This window comes from Homo sapiens, chromosome X (genome assembly GCF_000001405.40).
Source record: "Homo sapiens chromosome X, GRCh38.p14 Primary Assembly".
In the NCBI taxonomy this organism is placed as follows: Eukaryota; Metazoa; Chordata; class Mammalia; order Primates; family Hominidae; genus Homo; species Homo sapiens.
In genome coordinates, this window is record NC_000023.11 from 6,961,307 (window position 1) to 6,980,601 (window position 19,295).

A 19,295-nucleotide genomic window follows, 5' to 3' on the forward strand; every position below is an offset into this window, starting at 1 on the left:
GCCTGGGATGTGAAGACTGCAGTGAGCCATGATAATGACACTGCACTCCAGCCTAGGCAACAGAGTGAGACCCTGTCTAAAAAAAAATAAAAAATAAAAAAGACTACCCATGTGTTGGTGTCTCCTCTCAAGCATGAAATCCACCAAAGCATGCTTGCATTCATCCCTGTATTTGCAAGAAACTAGCATAGTCTCTAGCACACAGGAGTGCTAAACAACTGTTTCATGAAAAGATGAACAAACCAGGTAATAAGCAAATATTAACCAAAAAATTACCCACATGTGTTAAGCATTTACAAGGAGTAAAGAACTGTTTAATGACTCTCCTTAACCTTCCCAGAAACTCTAGGAAGGAGACTGTGATTACCATTTATATTTTATGAATGAGGCAAATGAGGCACAGAGACTTCAAGCTACATCCCTAAGTTTATATAGATGGTCAGTGCATGACCCAAGAACAGAACTTGGGAGTCTGAGTCCAGAGCCTCATTCTTGCACTGCTCTGGAATTCCATATCCGTGCATGGTCTTTACCCGTGATAGCAACACAGCACATGCAAGAAGTCTTCTTTATGCTAAGAAAGAATAAACATACCCTTCATAAATAATGCAAAAAACAAGTTAACTGCTTCTGAAGAGTGGAAACCTGCTTTCAAGGAGTCTGAAGTATGGTAGGAATTAATAAAACATTTTAAGGGTACTCTACAATTCAAATATGAAAAGGAAAATCAATTAGTGATCTGAAAGAACTAACAAGTAAAACAATCATTTTAATTTTCCATGTATGGAGAATCCACAACATTCTTGAGAGTGTTGAGCATACAAAATTCATTCCCTGTGCTATGTAAGTATAATTTTAACCAGTGGTAGAAATGCCAGTCACTGTGGTTGGATCACTGTTTTAATTTAGCATGGTCTGCCTCTGAGGTTAAAAAAAAAGCCAAATAAAATAGCACACACTTTCTCATTAAGCTGCATAATTTCATCGAATTTGTTTGATTGAAATACTACACCCCGGTGTTTGAGTCTACAAACACATTTACACACAATAAATTTAACAAGCTCACAATTGTAGGTATTAATCCCTTATATTCTGTCTAGTTTTCAATCTTCCTTATAAAATAGAAGACAATTCCAGAAAGTCCCTTGTTTGGATTTGATTCTATTATTTCTACAGCATGAACTCATTTTCTATATAACACAGTCACTTTGGAAAGGTCTTATTTTGTTAAAGGGGTCCCGGAGCATATGTCTAAGTAATTACAGTCTCTTCAAAATGCAAACTTTTATGCCATAAAATTCAGTTAGTAGAAAAGTTTCCTTTATGTGCAAAGAAACATTTTGATTTTACTTTTTGTTTTTTGAGTTCCATACAATGTTAAAGTTTAGATGGTTTAAAATTGGTTTTATATGGCTGTTGATTTCTTTGTAAATTCTCTAAAAACTACATTTCTAACACCATTCTGTGTGAATAAATCTAGAGTTTCAAATATATCTGATAAGAAATTATTTCTCACATCTCTCTTAATTCTAACAATAGGTGTTGGTATAACAAATTAACACTAGAAAGCATTTTACATGCATTATTTAATTTATTTTTGGTGGAACAGATGTTGGTGCCATCATCTTCTCTAATCGGCAGATGAAGCTCTGAGACTATTTTACCAGAGCTAGTGTCTTAGCACAGGCTAAGTTGCAGCATCAAATAGATGCAATCAATTCTGGCTCAGACATAGTCAGTCTCATAAACAATGTGATCATGTACTGCAGGGCACTGGGAAACTCAGATCCACACAGTCATTCAGGTATCCAACTTGTCATGCTTCTACGATCTTTAACTCATGTCTTCAAGGGTCCCTGTGAGCATCACCATCACAGTCAGCTGGAAGAAAGAGTAGCAGGGGAATCTGTGGGGTACTTTTATAAGGAGGTTCTGGCTTCATTTCTGCTTGGCTTCTTCCTGGGAGGATGTGGTCACATGGGCACAGCTAACAGAAAGGGAGGCTGGAAATGGGAATGCCTGAGGAGCATTTATTACCTCCTTCAGGTAAGAAAAAGCCTGGCTCTGACATGACTGAGCCAAGTCCTCAGCCCTCTGTCTATACTGTCTGAATGCCCTGTGGGATTGAGCCCTTAACCTGCAGGGTCCCACTCTAACTCCAGGCAGACAGTGTCAGGATGGAACTGAATTATAGGACACCTAGTGGGTATTCATTGGAGAATTGCTTGGTTTATGGGGGAAAAACCCACATACATCTGGCATCAGAAGTGAGTAGGGGCTGACATAAGAGAAAAATGACCTTCTTGTTTTTCACATAAACAAATATGCAGGCTGTAACTGAGAGATCCGCAGGGGTGTGTTTGTGAAACCTCTAAAGGTGAGACCAGGTGGTCTGAGAGCAAACAATGGGGACCTTGATGCTAGCCACCAAATGCTGTGCTCAAAGTGAGACGTCAGAAGTGATTTTCCACCATGCCAATCCTTCGGATCATATGCACAATATTTGGGCTATTGGTTTTAATCCCTCATGCCCAACATTTTGCAGTTGTTCTAAAGAAACATACAGGTTCTAAAGCCAGCACTATAAAAAACTGACTCTATATTCGTGGGAGGAATTGACTCTTCGGTGAGTGTTTGCCAGGTTTTTCATTCGTCACATTTTCTAACAAGAAGAATGCGATTGTTCAAATCACTCAGGGATAAGTGGCTTGCATTAGCACGCCTATTCAGGGACTTTTTCTAGAAGCATTCTAGGAAGTAAAATGTGGGTTGATATCTTTATTATAGGCAACACGGGGCTTTATTTACAAACAAAGTGCTTTAGACAAGGTCTTTTGCATAATACAAATAGCAAGTTATTTTCAAATGGCCATAATACTTGTAGTCAAAACCTCTTTCAATTGAAATAGCATCAGCATATGTCTTATTTTCTGGAAAATGTACAGGAAATGGTGAGAAATGCACATTCTATATACTTTCAGGAGAACTAAGCCATTGAAGCAAAAGGAAAACCAAGTAGCAATTAAAAGATTCGATTCCCTACTTTGGGAAGATACACCAATTTGATTCAAGAAATGGGTATTGAGATGGGCACAGTGGCTCATGCCTATAATCCCAGTACTTTGTTAGGCTGAGGAAGACAGTCTGCTTGAGCCTGGGAGGTTGAGACCAGCTTGCGCAACATAGTGAGACTCTGTCTCTACAAAAAATTTTAAAAATTAGCTGGGCGTGGTGGCACACAACTATGGTCCTAACTACTTGGGAGGCTGAGGTGGGAGGATTGCTTGAGCCCTAGAGGTTGAGGCTGCAGTGAGCAGTGATTATGCCACTGCACTCCAGCCTGGGCGACAAAGCAAGACTATGTCTCAAAAAATAAATAAATAAGTAAAAAAGTCAATAAATGAATAAATAAATAAATAAAAAGTGTTGAGCTCCTTTGAGGTGATGTTCATGCCGCCATGGATTAAAGGTCAAATAAGATACGATCCTTTCCCCCAAGAAATTTATAATCTAGCTTTACAATAATTCATTTAGGTATTCTCAACTGCTATGTCAGATAATAACACCTTTCCTAAGTTTTTTCCCCCTCCTAGTACCATCTCAATTCGTAAGAACCAAGGAAACAGTGATATCTACTTAAGCCCAGGCAATCATCCAAAGAATTAAAAGCTAGGTAACATTGTCCTCTGTGTGATATTTGCTTGATTATTTTAACAAACAGAAGTCAGTAACTGTTTTTGCATGAAATAGTCATAGGCCAAGGCTCTCTTCTTTGATTTAAGGCTCTTTGGGGTCACTGAAGTGTCATTTGGAAAATGACTTCCCAATGCATAATGATCCCCTAAAGCCTGTCGTAAGTGCTCTTCCATGAGAGCAGCGATTTATTTTCTTCCAAGTATTGTTTTAAAACAGTAAGCAGCCGAAGGTCAGAGAGGCTCTGGCTCATGAAAACAGGCTTAACGCAACTCTAAGATATTTTTTAAACACTGGAGAGGAGAAAAATTTTTCATAAATACACATTTAGAGAAATGGTTCAACAGACATGGAAAAGATACGTTTCTCTTACCCCCAAGCACATGGTTATAACCCATGAAACAATATACATAAAAGAAAAGAATAGATGGCTTTAGAATATCACAGAGACCTGGATTCAAATTCCAGCCTTTCCTTGCATTGATTATGCCCATTTTGTTTGCAAATCAAAGTTTTTGAGCTCAGTCGCCTCATATAATACAAAACTACCTGCCTCAAAGATTGTGACAATTAAACACGATACTGTATACAAATGCTAAAGAGCAAAGCCAGCTGCATAGTATACACTCAATAAACTGCAGTGATGAGTGCTAAGATTATTGTTAAACAGGAGTTATACACAAAATAATTAGGCATACAGTATATAAAACCCAATCCTCTCTTCATTTGTGGGATTATGTCAATCGGATATCTAATGCTATGTTACTTGTGAAATAATCATTTTCATAAGCAGGAAAAATAAAAACCTATGCAGCTATAAAAATCAACTGTATTAAAGACTTTATTTAACTCTTGAGTTAGGAAACTGGTTGTAAGATGTTGCAACCAGTTCAAAGTCGACTCCAAACAGACACATTTATAGATCAGGAATATTGAAACCTCAGAACATAAAACTACCTTCTTCCACCGTTCGGGAAGGAAATAATTGAAACTGTACCAGACAGGACATAATTTGCATATGAATAGACAGGAATGATTTTGCACTCAGTTATCTACAACTTATGAGGATGTAAGTTTGGTCCCACAGAATCAGAATCTGATAATCCTAGAGGCTGTACTCTTCCAGGAAATGCATCATTGTCCTTTAAAGCACATTTTTCTACAATTATCACATATATATATTTTATATATAATATAGGAAATAAAAATATCTATTTTGTGTAGATATGTTTGCATGTAAGTGTTGTTCAATTTTGCTTGCTGTTTTGTATACCACATCATACATATTGTCTTTCACATACACACCCACCTGTAAAAGTTAAAATTACTAAAATTGAGTGAATCTTGGTTCTATGCCTGTTATATAGAAACTAAGTAAATGATGGAGTGCATCAAAGAATTGTACAATTTGAGCAAAAAGATTATCTCACTCTGCCATTTCTCTTAATCATTCCACCAACACTTTATGAACTTCTTGAGTTATAAGCAATAAAATTCCAAATATTGAAAGTTGTGTTTGAGTCCTTTAGACTGGATCGCCTTCATATTTTTTTTTTTTTTTTTTTAGAGACAGGGTCTCAGTCTATCACATAAGCTGGAGTGCAGTGGTGCAATTGTAGCTTGCTGCAACCTTGAACTCCTGGGCTCAAGAGATCCTCCCACTTCAGCCTCCTGAGTCGTTGGGACTACAGGTGTGCACCATCACAGCTGGCTAATTTTTTGTATTTTCTGTGAAGATAGGGTCTTGCTATATTGCCCTGGTTGGTCTTGAACTCCTGGCCTCAAGTGACCCTCCTGCCTCAGCCTCCCAAAGTGCTGGGATTACAGGTGTGAGCCACTGCACCCACCCAGCCACCTTCAGGCATGTTAAGGATGGTGAGGAACAGGGATGCTGGTTTTAACAAGGTTCCCTGATGGTGGCCTCATGTGTGCTGCTCCCACAGCGTGGCTGAGGGTGGAAGCTGATTCCCGGTTGGAGGAAGGTAAGGGAAGTGCACCACTGCCTTCTCTCTGGACTGGAAAGAGACGGGCTGTGTCTAGGGAGGGTATGTAGGGGGCCGTGTTTCAGGGGTTGAGGGTCATTGGTAATTGGTCACGTTCCTCCTTTCAGGAAGCAGGAGTTGGTCCTGTAGGACTCCTTTCCCAGAGAGCGGCTGCCACAGGAGGACAGAGGCATCTGCAGCCGCCCTGGCCTTCTATCTGGTGCAGACCCACGCGGTTCCTCCCCCATGCTGCTAGACCTGGCTGTCTCCTGACTCTGGCTTCCTGCCTGGCCCTTTCCTTTCCATCCTGGCCCTCACCCCTTAGCTGGTGTCCCCAGCATGTTTTTCTTGCCTGAAGACATCAGAACTCTGCTTCTTCTTTCTGTTCTCCTTCCTCTTAGGCAGGCTGCAGCCTCGTCCCTGTGACCCTCTGGAGCTCTGAGAGGATCCAAGAGAATACAGCTCTGCCATCCAGGTCTGCGTGGCAGCAGATGCTCTCCCTCACCCAGAAGTCCATTTGAGTGGCCGCTTTGCACCTATGCCGTGAAAATGTCCCCACCTTCATTAAAAAAGAACCAGAGCAATCACTAACTCCTCACTACCCCATGTTGGGGCTCAGAAAACAATGCCCCAAAATGCAGGTCTCAGCAGTGGCCTTGGAAGCGAACTTCTCTCTGTGACCTTCTCCTGCCCTCCTGTCTCTCAGTCCCATCCTTCCCAGAGGCCTCAGAGAAACTAGAAGCCCTCCTTCCCTTGGCTGGTCCTAGAAACCAGAACCCTTCTCTCCAAAGCCAGCCATAAAACCTAAAAATAGGACTTTAACTTTCCCTCTGCCTTTCTGTGTAAAAACTAGCCATAAAGAAATTCCCTGACCTACCTTATTTGACTGTAGATCCTAAAACCCCCATTCCAGAGAGGGTCCCACCTCACACCCAGAAGGAAAGAGCGCTGCTCAGAGAGGCCAAGAAGAATCTAGACAGACAGGCTGGCTGGGTTTCCACACTCAGTCCATTAGCTTTAGATCAGGCCCTTTTTGTCCAACCCTGTTTCTACATGCTGTCCATGCTTTGTTGAACCTAAGTATAAAAATGGATAGTTTCCCCTGTATCCTTGGGCCTTCATTCTGAAGTCTCCTATTTGTACACATTAATTTGTGTGCCTTTTCTCCTGTTAATCTGCCTTTTGTAAGTTTATTTTCCAGTGAAACTTCAGGGGACCCCTTGGCCCCTACACCCCACACACTTGCACACAGGCACATACTCACCACCATCCGTGTAGTACACAGTGGATAGAAATAAGGTGGGATGCAGAGACGCAAATGCAAAATTCTATTTCTATCTGATGGATCAGTGGAAGGGAAGGTTTGTGTTTAACAAGGATGTGTCCGTGCCTTTCCCAGTTTCAGGAGCAAGTGAACCATCTGGGAATCTCATGAATGTGAAAACTTTGGCCCTGTGGGTCTGGGGCAGGGGGGTGTGAGTCACTGTCTTCACTGTGGCTCAGAGTCTGTGATCTGGAGAGCTGATGGTGGGGCCGATCGTCTCTCTGCGGGAGAGTTTGGTGTCACCATCATCTCTTAAAGCTGCAGTGTGCTGGCTGAGCAGGGGTCTGTGTTTTAGGGGGTTGGAGTAATTAGTTTCCACCTTCTTCATCTTTCTCTCCTTTTTTTTTTCTTTTTCCTAGGTTGGAGTACAGTGGCACAGTCTCGGCTCACTGCAACCTCCACCTCCCCAGTTCAAGGAATTCTCCTGCCTCAGCCTCCCCAGTAGCTGGGACTACAGGCACGTGCCACCATACCCAGCTAATTTTTGTATTTTTAGTAGAGACAGGGTTTCACTACGTTGGCCAGGCTGGTCTCAAACTCCTGGCCTCAAATGATCTGCCCGCCTCGGCCTCCCAAAGTGCTGGGTTTACAGGCGTGAGCCACCGCACCTGGCCCTTCTTCATCTCTTATGTTTCCAAGGGCCTAGGCTTCATTGTTGCCAGTATCTTCTCATAGATCTAGTGTTGGTCAACGTTGTTCAGTCACTTCTAGGATTTACTGAGACCAGCAGCTCCCCCTGTGCACTAACTGCCTTCCTTATGGCCATGACATGGCCCCACAGACAGGGGGCCAAGCCTCTCTAAACCATCTGTGAAAAGAAGGCAACAGAGTGTATGTGAGCACGGTGGGTGTGAATGACTCCCAAACCACCCTAAGGCTGAGATGTCCTATGACAAACCTTGCTACCCACATGAACTCCGCTAAAAACATCTATCTGCTCTTAAAATAGTCATGGGCCGGCATTTCATTGTCCATAGACTGCTTGACAGCCTGGAGCTCCACCTCCACCCAAGCCATAGGTGTCCTCGTCTCTTGGCTGCCACACCAAGGCAGACTGTGTCTCAGGGAGCAACCCAAGGGGTGAGGTGTGAAGAAATGTTCCCACATCAGGCCCTGCTGTAGGAATAAAGGTAGATCTCTTATGTTTTTCAGAACAGATCTCTTTGCAAAAGCTAATCATCCCTTAAACACTAATAACAACTGCAGGACACAACCTATTGTGTCTGAAAACTGTGAAGGGTTAATCACATTTTCTAAACACAAAGTACTTTCCCCTAAGCACATCTGGGCCCACAGGGCAGTGGCTCATGCTTATAATCTCAGCACTTTGGGAGGCTGAGGCAGGAGGATCACTTGAGGCTGGGATTTCGAAACCAGCCTGAGCAACATAGAAAGATCCAGTGTTGACAAGAAATTTTCTTTTGAAATTAGCCAGGCATGGAGGTGCACACCTGTAGTCCCAGCTACTAGGGAAGCTGAGGTGGGAGGACTCTTTGAGCCCAGGAGTTCAAGGCCGCAGTGAGCTATGATTGCACCACTGCACTGCAGCTTGCATAGAGCAAGACCCAGTCTCTTTGTAAAATTTTTTGGAAGGTCTGCTATTATTTCAAGCTAAAAGTTTATACAGTAATTGCTTTGTGTTGTGTAACATTCTAGAATATGACATACATACAAAAGGGTGTTTTAAATAAATTATTCCTTTTGGGCATAAAACGTGTGGGGTTTAGGGGCCACGGGGTCCCCTGAAGTTTCACTGAAAAATAAACTTACAAAAGGCAGATAAATAGGAGAAAAGACACACAAATCAATGTGTATACACGGGAGGCTTCAGAATGAAGATCCAAAGAAATATAGCAATAATAAAATAAATAAGTCTGAGTTTGAATTAACACAATTTAGCAACTGAGTCATTCTTTGTCAATCATTTAGCCATTTTGAAAATCGCTTTGTAAAATTTTTTGGAAGGTATGCTATTATTTCAAGCTAAATGTTTATACAATAATTATTTTGTGTTGTGTAACATTTTAGAATGCAATGACTATCTGCAAAGGGCCTTTTAAATAAATTATTCCTTTTGGGCATAAAAAATAATTTTGTGGTGCTTTATGGGTAGGGAGGTGAGCAGTAGGGGGTTGCCGGATGGATGATGGATTTGAGCGAACCCAAGATTAGGAGGATCTATCTGGGGTAGGACCTGGCGGTACGCAGAATAGACTGGACTCCTATTTGGCCATAAGCATTGAGCCCCTTTGCATTCATATTTTGAAACAAAATTGCCCTAGAGAATAATTATTCATCTTTTCAAAGACTAGAGTAATGATTGCTCTCCAGGTGGCTCCAAACACAGACTTTCGGGATCTCATTTAGATGTATTAATATTAACTTAGCCAGCCAAGCTTTTTATCCATAAAGTTATACAAGAGGAGGAAAAGAGAGGACTGCCTGTATGATGGATAAGGTCAATAGATGTCAGAACAGCTGGGTGCAGTGGCTCACACCTGTAATTCCAGCACTTTGGGAGGCTGAGGTGGGTGGGAGTTTAGGAGTTCAAGACCAGCCTGATAGTGAAACCCCGTCTCTACTAAAACTACAAAAATTCACTGGGCGTGGTAGCAGGTGCCTGTAATCCCAGCTACTCAGGAGGCTGAGGTAGGAGAATCGCTTGAACCTGGGAGGTGGAGGTTGCAGTGAGCTAAGGTCACACCACTGCACTCCAGCCTGGGTGATAGAGCAAGACTCCATCTCAAAAACAAAAAACAAAAAAACAAAAAAAAACAGATGTCAGAATAGCTTCAGCCCCTGTCTTATACCTGCTACAGGTAAAGGTCCCGCTATGGACAAGAGGATGCTGCATGTTCATGCGCCACCTGACAGATCCATTTATACAGACCTGACTTTTTTTCTGAGGCCTCTGTTCTGTTCCATTGGTCTATATATCTGTTTGATACCAGTACCATGCTGTTTTGGTTACTGTAGCCTTGTAGTATAGTTTGAAGTCAGGTAGCGTGATGCCTCCAGCTTTGTTCTTTTTGCTTAGGATTATCTTGGCTATATGGGCTCTTTTTTGGTTCCATATGAAATTTAAAGTAGTTTTTTCTTTTCTCTTTTTTCTTTTCTTTTTTTTTTTTTGAGACAGAGTCTCACTCTGTCACCCAGGCTGGAGTGCAGTGGCGCAATCTCGGCTCACTGCAAGCTCCGCCTCACTGGTTCATGCCATTCTCCTGCCTCAGCCTCCCAAGTAGCTGGGACTACAGGCGCCCACCACCACGCCCGGCTAATTTTTTTTTTTTTTGTATTTTCAGTAGAGACGGGGTTTCACCTTGTTAGCCCGGATAGTCTTGATCTCCTGACTTCGTGATCTGCCCGCCTCGGCCTCCCAAAGTGCTGGGATTACAGGCGTGAGCCACTGCGCCTGGCCTAAAGTAGTTTTTTCTAATTCTGTGAAGAAAGTCAGTGGTAGCTTGATGGGGATAGCATTGAATCTATAAATTACTTTTGGCAGTATGGCCGTTTTCACGATACTGATTCTTCCTATCCATGAGCATGGAATGTTTTTCCATTTGTTTGTGTCCTCTTGTTTCCTTGAGCAATGGTTTGTAGTTCTCCTTGAAGAGGTCCTTCACATCCCTTGTAAGTTGTATTCCTAGGTATTTTATTCTCTTTGTAGCAATTGTGAATGGGAGTTCACTCATGATTTGGCTCTCCGTTTGTCTATTATTGGTGTATAGGAATGCTTGTGATTTTTGCACGTTGATTTTGTATCCTGAGACTTTGCTGAAGTTGCTTATCAGCTTAAGGAGATTTTGAGCTGAGATGATGGGGTTTTCTAAATATACAATCATGTCATCTGCAAACAGACAATTGACCTCTCTTCCTATTTGAACATCCTTTATTTCTTTCTCTTGCCTGATTGCCCTGGCCAGAACTTCCAATATGATGTTGAATAGGAGTGGTGAGAGAGGGCATCCTTGTCTTGTGCTGGTTTTCAAAGGGAATGCTTCCAGCTTTTGCCCATTCAGTATGATATTGGCTGTGGGTTTGTCATAGATAGCTCTTATTATTTTGACATACGTTCCATCAATACCTAGTTTATTGAGAGTTTTAACATGAAGAGGTGTTGAATTTTATTGAAGGCCTTTTCTGCATCTGCTGAGATAATCATGTGGTTTTTGTCATTGGTTCTGTTTATGTGATGGATTATGTTTATTGATTTGTGTATGTTGCACCAGCCTTGTATCCCAGGAATGAAGCCGACTTGATAATGGTGGATGAGCTTTTTGATGTGCTGCTGGATTCAGTTTGCCAGTATTTTATTGAGGATTTTCACATCGATGTTCATCAGGGGTATTGGCCTGAAATTTTCTTTTTTAGTTGTGTCTCTGCCAGGTTTTGGTATCAGGATGATGCTGGCCTCATAAAATGAGTTAGGGAGGAGTCCCTCTTTTTCTATTGTTTGGAATAGTTTCAGAAGGAATGGTACCAGCTCCTCTTTGTACCTCTGGTAGAATTCAGCTCTGAATCTATCTGGTCCTGGGCTGTTTTTGGTTGGTAAGCTATTAATTACTGCCTCATTTTCAGAACTTGTTATTGGCCTATTCGGGGATTCGACTTCTTCCTGGTTTAGTCTTGGGAGGGTGTATGTGTCCAGGAATTTATCCATTTCTTCTAGATTTTCTAGATTATTTGCATAGAGGTATTTATAGTATTCTCTGATGGTAGTTTGTATTTCTGTGGGATCAGTGGTGATATCCTCTTTGTAATTTTTTATTGTGTCTATTTGATTCTTCTCTCTTTTCTTCTTTATTAGTCTGGCTAGCAGTCTATCTATTTTGTTTATCTTTTCAAAAAACAAGCTCCTGGATTCATTGATTTTTTGAAGAGTTTTTCATGTCTCTATCTCCTTCAGTTCTGCTTTGATCTTAGTTATTTCTTGTCTTCTGCTAGCTTTGGAATTTGTTTGCTCTTGCTTCTCTAGTTCTTTTCATTGTGATGTTAGGGTGTCAATTTTGGATCTTTCCCACTTTCTCCTGTGGGCATTTAGTGCTATAAATTTCCCTCGAAACACTGCTTTAGCTGTGTCCTATAGATTTTTGTATGTTGTGTCTTTGTTCTCATTGGTTTTAAAGAACTTATTTATTTCTGCCTTAATTTCATTATTTACCCAGTAGTCATTTACAAGCAGGTTGTTTAGTTTCCATGTAGTTGTGCAGTTTTGAGTGAGTTTCTTAATCCTGAGTTGTAATTTGATTGCACTGTGGTCTGAGAGACTGTTTGTTATGATTTCCACTCTTTTGCATTTGCGAAGTGTTTTACTTCCAATTATGTGGTCAATTTTAGAATATGTGCGATGTGGTGTTGAGAAGAATGTATATTCTGTTGATTTGGGGTGGAGAGTTTTGTAGATGTCTATCAGGTCTGCTTGGTCCAGGGCTGAGTTCAAGTCCTGAATATCCTTGTTTATATTCTGTCTTGTTGATCTGTCTAATATTGACAGTGGGGTGTTAAAGTCTCCCACTATTATTGTGTGGGAGTCTAAGTCTTTGTAGGTCTCTAAGAACTTGCTTTATGAATCTGGGTGCTCCTGTATTGGGTGCATATATATTTAGGATAGTTAGCTCTTCTTGTTGAATTGATCCCTTTATCATTATGTAATGCCCTTCTTTGTCCTTTTTGAGCTTTGTTGGTTCAAAGTCTGTTTTATCAGAGACTAGGATTGCAACCCCTGCTGTTTTCTGCTTTCCATTTGCTTGGTAAATATTCCTCCATCTCTTTATTTTGAGCCTATGTGTGTCTTTGCATGTGAGATGGGTATGTTGAATACAGCACACTGATGGGTCTTGACTCTTTATCCAATTTGCCAGTCTGTGTCTTTTTATTGGGACATTTAGCCCATTTACATATAAGGTTAATATTGTTATGTGTGAATTTGATCCTGTCATTGTGATGCCAGGTGGTTATTTTGCCAGTTAGTTGATGTAGTTGATGCAGTTTCTTCATAGTGTCAATGGTCTTTACAATTTGCTGTTTTTGCAGTGGCTGGTACTGGTTTTTCCTTTCCATATTTAGTGCTTCCTTCAAGAGCTCTTGTAAGGCAGGCCTGGTGGTGACAAAATCTCTCAGCAATTGCTTGTCTGTAAAGGATTTTGTTTCTTCTTCACTTATGAAGCATAGTTTGACTGGATATGAAATTCTGGGTTGAAAATTCTTTTCTTTAAGAATGTTGAATATTGGTCCCCACTCTCTTCTGGCTTGTAGTGTTTCTGCAGAGAGATCCACTGTTAGTCTGATGGGCTTCCCTTTGTGGGTAACCCGACCTTTCTCTCTGGCTGCCCTTAACATTTTCTCCTTCATTTCAACCTTGGTGAATCTGACGATTATGTGTCTTGGGGTTGCTCTTCTCAAGGAGTATCTTTGTGGTGTTCTCTGTATTTCCTGAATTTTAATGTTGGCCTCTCTTGCTAGGTTGGGGAATTTCTCCTGGATAATAACTTGAAGAGTGTTTTCCAACTTGGTTCCATTTTCCCCGTCATTTTCAGGAACACCCATCAAATGTAAGTTAGGTCTTTTCACATAGTCCCATATTTCTTGGAGGCTTGTTCATTCCTTTTCATTCTTTTTTCTCTAATCTTGTCTTCACACTTTATTTCATTAAGTTGATCTTCAATCTCTGATATCCTTTCTTCTGCTTGATCGATTCGGCTATTGATATTTGTTTATGCTTCATGAAGTTCTCGTGCTGTGTTTTTCAGCTCCATCAGGTCATTTATGTTCTTCTCTAAACTGATTATTCTAGTTAGCAATTCCTTTAACCTTTTTTCAAGGTTCTTAGCTTCCTTCCATTGGGTTAGATCATGTTCCTTTAGCTCAGAGGAGTTTGTTATTACCCACTTTCTGAAGCCTATTTCTGTCAATTCATCAAACTCATTCTCCGTCCAGTTTGGTTCCCTTGGTGGCGAGGAGTTGTGATCCTTTGGAGAAGAGGCATTCTGGTTTTTGGAATTTTCAGCCTTTTTATACTGGTTTTTCCTCATCTTTGTGGAATTATCTACCTTTGGTCTTTGATGTTGATGACCTTCAGATGGGGTTTTTGTGTGGACATCCTTTTTGTTGATGTTGATGCTATTCCTTTCTGCTTGTTAGTTTTTCTTCTAACAGTCAGGCCCCTCTGCTGCAGGTCTCCTGGAGTTTGCTGGAGGTCCACTCCAGACCCTATTTGCCTGGGTATCACCAGTGGAGGCTGCAGAACAGCAAAGATTGCTGCCTGTTCCTTCCTCTGGAAGCTTCATCCCAGAGGGGCACCCGCCAGATGCCAGCCAGAGCTCTCCTGTATGAGGTGTCTGTTGACCCCTACTGGGAGGTGTCTCCCAGTCAGGAGGCACGGGGGTCAAGGACCCACTTGAGGAGGCTGTCTGACCCTTAACAGAGCTTGAGCACTGTGCTGGGAGATCCACTGTTCTCTTCAGAGCCAGCAGGCAGGAATGCTGAAGCTGCGCCCACAGCCGCCCCTTCCCCCAGGTGCTCTGTCTCAGGGAGATGGGAGTTTCATATATAGGCCCCTGACTTGGGCTGCTGCCTTTCTTTCAGAGATGCCCTGCCCAGAGAAGAGGAATCTTGTGAGGCAGTCTGGCTGCAGCAGCTTTGCAGCCAGTGAGCTCTGCCCCATCTGAACTTCCCAGCAGCTTTGTTTACGCTGTGAGGGGAAAACCGCCTACTCAAGCCTAAGTAATGGTGGATGCCCCTCTCCCAACCAAGTTTGAGTGTCCTAGGTTGACCTCAGACTGCTGTGCCAGCAGTGAGAATTTCAAGCCAGTGGATCTTAACTAGCTGGGCTCCATGGGGGTGGTATCCACTGATCTAGGCCACTTGGCTCCCTGGCTTCAGCCCTCTTTCCAGTGGAGTGAACAGTTCTGTCTTGCTGGCATTCCAGGAGCCACTGGGGTATGAAAAAAAATCTCCTGCAGCTAGCTTGGTGTCTACCCAAACGGCTGCCCAGTTTTGTGCTTGAAACCCAGGGCCCTGGTGGTATAGATACCGGAGGGAATCTCCTGGTCTGCGGGTTGCAAAGACCATGGGAAAAGCATAGAATCTGGGCCAGAATGCACCATTCCTCATGGCACAGTCCCTCACAGCTTCCCTTGGCTAGAGGATGGAGTTCCCCAACCTCTCGCACTTCCTGGGTGAGGCAACGCCCCACCCTGTTTCTGCTCACCCTCCATGGGCTGCACCCACTGTCTAACCAGTCCCAATGAGATGAGCTGGGTACCTCAATTGGAAATGCAGAAATCATCTGCCTTTTGCGTTGATCTCACTGGGAGCTGCAGACTGGAGCTGTTCCTATTCAGTCATCTCGCCAGCCACCCAAGAGGATCTTTTCTGAGCCAAAGTTTAGCACCTCTGTCCCAGCTCCTTCCTTAGAGAATTCTGAATGTGGGTTCCACTTAAAGAACAACACAGCATCAAGGGGCATCTGACCTCTGGTCATTTGGAGACTTCAACCCCCTATTACTTTCTATGGATGAAAATCAAAGCTTCTGCTGTACTGTTCTCAGAGCCAAAGCCTGAGGTGAAACTCCTCTCCTCTGATTTTTTGAGCATGGAATATAAACAAAATAATTAGCCACTCAAGAGGCATTGCAAACATTAACTAACATGTAACCTTGCAAAACAGGGAAGGTTCTTATTTGTAAATGCCAATCACTACACAGAAAAACTCTAAGGATTTATATCCTAGGCAACAGAAAATTGCTCTGTAAAAGAACTCTTCCCACATGTTTTACTAAATTTGCAATATTTGAGCTTGCATTTAAATAAATACAGAGTTTCCTACCTCTCTCTCAAGTGTCTCTTCTGCAAATCCATGCTCTTTTCTCCATGCCACTCCAGGAACAGGCAGGAAGAACCCAATCTCACAACGGGGACCAGAGACTGCCGCCTTACCTTAGAGGAGCAGAAAATGTAGTATCAAGGACACCTTCAGGATGTAGACAGTAAGGTGACTGCTGGAATCATCTAAGAGGAGGGAGTTTTAAGCAAAACTTTGCTGCCCTGCAAGTCTGAAAATGACATTGTTGACCTAGAATCAATAGTATACACCTTCAAGGAATTTGTTCTCCATAATAAAGACCATTTCTGTGTTGACATGTACCTCTTCTAGTTTAAAGAATAATCAATGGAATAAATTTGAGACATCAGACTGTATTTTTGCACCCATGGAACAAATTATTATTTTCTTCCATTGGGGTTTGAATTTGTGACTTTGGACACCTTGACTATTAAAGGCAAGTGATATAAAGCTGAAATCAACATTACTAAAGTGAGAGCATCCCAGGAGTCCCACCTGGGACCTCTGCTTAGGTCTCCATGTGTTGTTGCTACTCAGATACTTGGACAGTGACTTGGCAAACCAAAAGCCAGGAAAAAGAGGCTCTACCAGCTGAGGCTAAAATGCTGATACCTTTATCTGGCCTGGCCATAGGAAGCTCCGCCATGGCAGAGAAAGTCAGCACTTGCATAGACAATGCATGAGCTAGCTCCACAGTCTGAATCTGAGCCTGTGCTCTGCCATTTTGTAATATGGACTTGCCAGGAAGATGTTCAAGAACATCATGAAACCTCTTTGGGTTCCAGGTCTTGGCTACCTCCTGTCCTTGCAAAACAAGTCCTTCACATGGTCCAGCCCTGCTAGCCTGGACACTGGAGTCTGGGGCCAGAGTCCCAGGTTATCATAAAGTGGTACATGGCACTGATGATTCCTCACACAGAAGATGCCAATTAAACAATGCCTTAAACAGTGTGTGTAGGATTTGAACAAATTCCATGGCTATGGGTTCAAGGGCAGTCTAGTAACACAGAACCTTACCATAAACTCTGTTTGCCTTCTTTAGTTTTTCAACCCAATTCTGCAGGGCACTCTGTGGTCCTTTGTAGATCATGTATCCTTGGAGACGTTTTGAGACATTAATGATCTCTTTGATGGAATCCATGATGGTTTTTGTGCTAAGTCCCATCTTCAGTAGGAAATGCCATGTAATGTTCTTTCTAAAAAAAGAGAGAGAGAGAGAGAGAACAACTTGGATTTACAATGTAAACACTATTTGTATTCATTTTTCCCTGTGCTGTTAACATTTTTGGAAAAAAGTAGCTATTTGTTTAATTTTAGTTTAATTTGTTTTTAATACATGTGTATCGTTGTCCAGATTGTACTCACCATTAAGGAATGAGAAAAGAGCAATAGTTGACTCTATTAGGTCAAAGGTTGTTAAAAATGTTTATAATAACAGACAGATGACGTAACAAAAAATGAACAACAGTCATCTCAGACTTAAACAAAAAAGACATAATAAAATAAAAGAATAACTAAAAAATCTTTCAAGAATCAATTCTGGGCCATCTTAGCCAATGAATATTTTTACAGATAGGTATGGTCAGTGATCGTGGTACTGAGAAGTTGCCAAAAGCAAATGGGAAGACTGTTGGTGCAGCAGAAAGTGTGAATTGTATTCTACAATCTTGCTTTCTTGTCTCTTGATAAAACTGCTCCATTTTCCATTCCCAAGTCCATTCACCAGCCTCAGGACATCCAGATGTGGACCTCAAAGCAACTGCTAACACTAATAGAATCCTTGCTTCTTAAAAAACCCAAGCAACTTAAAGCAGACACCATATACGCAGAAATCAAGGAGCATGTGCAGAGGATAAAACATTTTTGGGCAAGAAACAAAGACTGGTGGCTGAGGGTTGTTTCTCGATTAAAATTATTTTAATTAATACCTAATGTTATATAATGCTATAACACAATGTTATCATGCATAAAATGTCATAATTTGTTATGTCGCGTAATAGTATGGTACCCTCCAAAGTGTGTCTCCTTACAGCTAAATTAGCATGCATTCAACAGCACACATTAACATACCATGATTAAAGTATTTCAAAATAAATACCATGCAGGATCTTTGTTTATTTTGTTTAGCTCCTCGAATTATAGGTGGTCACTCTCTGTCCCCCACCACCTCCTCCACACACATCTGAAGGACACTTAGAAAGATACTCTCCATGAACATACTGGTGAAAAAAAGCAAGTGAAATTGCCGATTATAGTGTTCTAGATCCTGAGCAAGTTTGTTCCACAAAATCCTTGTAGATAAAAAATAAAATGAATAAGCTGCTCCCACTTTGGAAATAAAGACAATAGCATAAAATGGTAATGAATGGTTGGTCTATAGGCACAAAAGGCATATTTAAGGAATGGGATATGAGGGGGAAGATATGTATAATAGAATCATTTTATTGGAAAATGAAACAGGGCACCTAGTTCCTGCTAAGCCTTTTCCAGAGACGGATAATTGATGCTAGGTCCCTGCAGAAAGCCAATAGGGCATTGCTGATAGGCGAGGACTAAGCAAAGCTTGGCTTCCAGTGCTTTTTTTTAATTAATTAAATAAATATGTTTATTATATTTAAATAAAATTTTAAAGCTTGAAAATATCAAAAAGGAGAAAGAATTGATAAAAATTGTCAAAGCAATTCTTTAAAAAGAGGCAAATAGTAGCTCTAGAATTAAAATTATAATAATCAGTATGAAATTTTTTTTCTATAGTTGAACTTTGGCTTCTGCTTTTAAAAACCATATTTTTTCTTTATTTTCTGACTTATTTTAGATTGAGGGGTTACATGTGCAGGTTTGTTACTTGGGTAGATTGCAAACCCAGATCATGAGCATAGTACCCGATAGGTAGTTTTTCTTCTTTTCTTTTCTTTTCTTTTCTCATTTCTCTTCTCTTCTCTTCTTCTTCTTTCCTTCCTTCCTTCCTTCCTTTCCTTTCTTTCCTCTCCTCTCCTCTCCTCCCTTCCTCTCCCCTCCCCTCCCTCCCTCCCTTCTTCCTTCCTTCTTCTCTTCTCTTCTCTTTTCTTTTCTTTTCTCTGAGACAGGGTCTTGTTCTGTTATCCAGGCTAGAGTGCAGTGGTAAAATCATGGCTCACTGCAGCCTTAACCTCCTAGGCTAAAGTGATCCTTCTACCTTAGCCTCTGCAGGAGCTGAGACTGCAGGCATGTGCCACCATACCTGGCTAATGTTTTAAATATTTTGTAGAGAAGGGGTCTTGCTCTGTTGCCGAGGGTGGTCTTGAACTCCTGGGCTCAAGAGATGCTCTCGCCTTAGCCTCCCAAATTGCTGAGATTACAGGCATGAGCCAAAGTGCCTGGCCTCCTTTTACAATATTAACTTCCTCCTTTGTTGTTGACCATTAGCACCTCCAATGGTAGCTCTGTTATCAGTTTTGCAGCACTCAAGGTGCAT

At 41.6% G+C, this 19,295-nt stretch overlaps 1 protein-coding gene across 2 annotated transcripts in view, besides 2 other annotated features; it reads right to left on the reverse strand.

The window, feature by feature from the left end:
* Positions 1-19,295, reverse strand: part of PUDP (pseudouridine 5'-phosphatase) — a 442,316-nt gene that overhangs the window by 255,469 nt on the left and 167,552 nt on the right. For both annotated transcript variants that reach the window (XR_007068202.1, XR_001755734.2), the window contains exons 4-5: positions 16,859-17,037; positions 15,827-15,936 (exon numbers count right to left, since the gene is read on the reverse strand). The gene's annotated coding sequence lies outside the window, so the exon portion shown is untranslated. The remainder of the gene's footprint in view (positions 1-15,826; positions 15,937-16,858; positions 17,038-19,295) is intronic.
* Positions 5,404-5,917: an enhancer, noted in NCBI's record as "H3K27ac-H3K4me1 hESC enhancer chrX:6884751-6885264 (GRCh37/hg19 assembly coordinates)". NCBI's record gives its function as "activates a minimal SCP1, AML or CMV promoter by ChIP-STARR-seq in primed H9 embryonic stem cells {active_cell/tissue: H9 hESC(primed)}" and the evidence as "EXISTENCE:reporter gene assay evidence [ECO:0000049][PMID:30033119]".
* Positions 14,934-15,104: a silencer, noted in NCBI's record as "fragment chrX:6894281-6894451 (GRCh37/hg19 assembly coordinates)". NCBI's record gives its function as "represses an EF-1alpha promoter that drives an FKBP-Casp9 reporter gene in an ReSE screen in K562 erythroleukemia cells {active_cell/tissue: K562}" and the evidence as "EXISTENCE:reporter gene assay evidence [ECO:0000049][PMID:32094911]".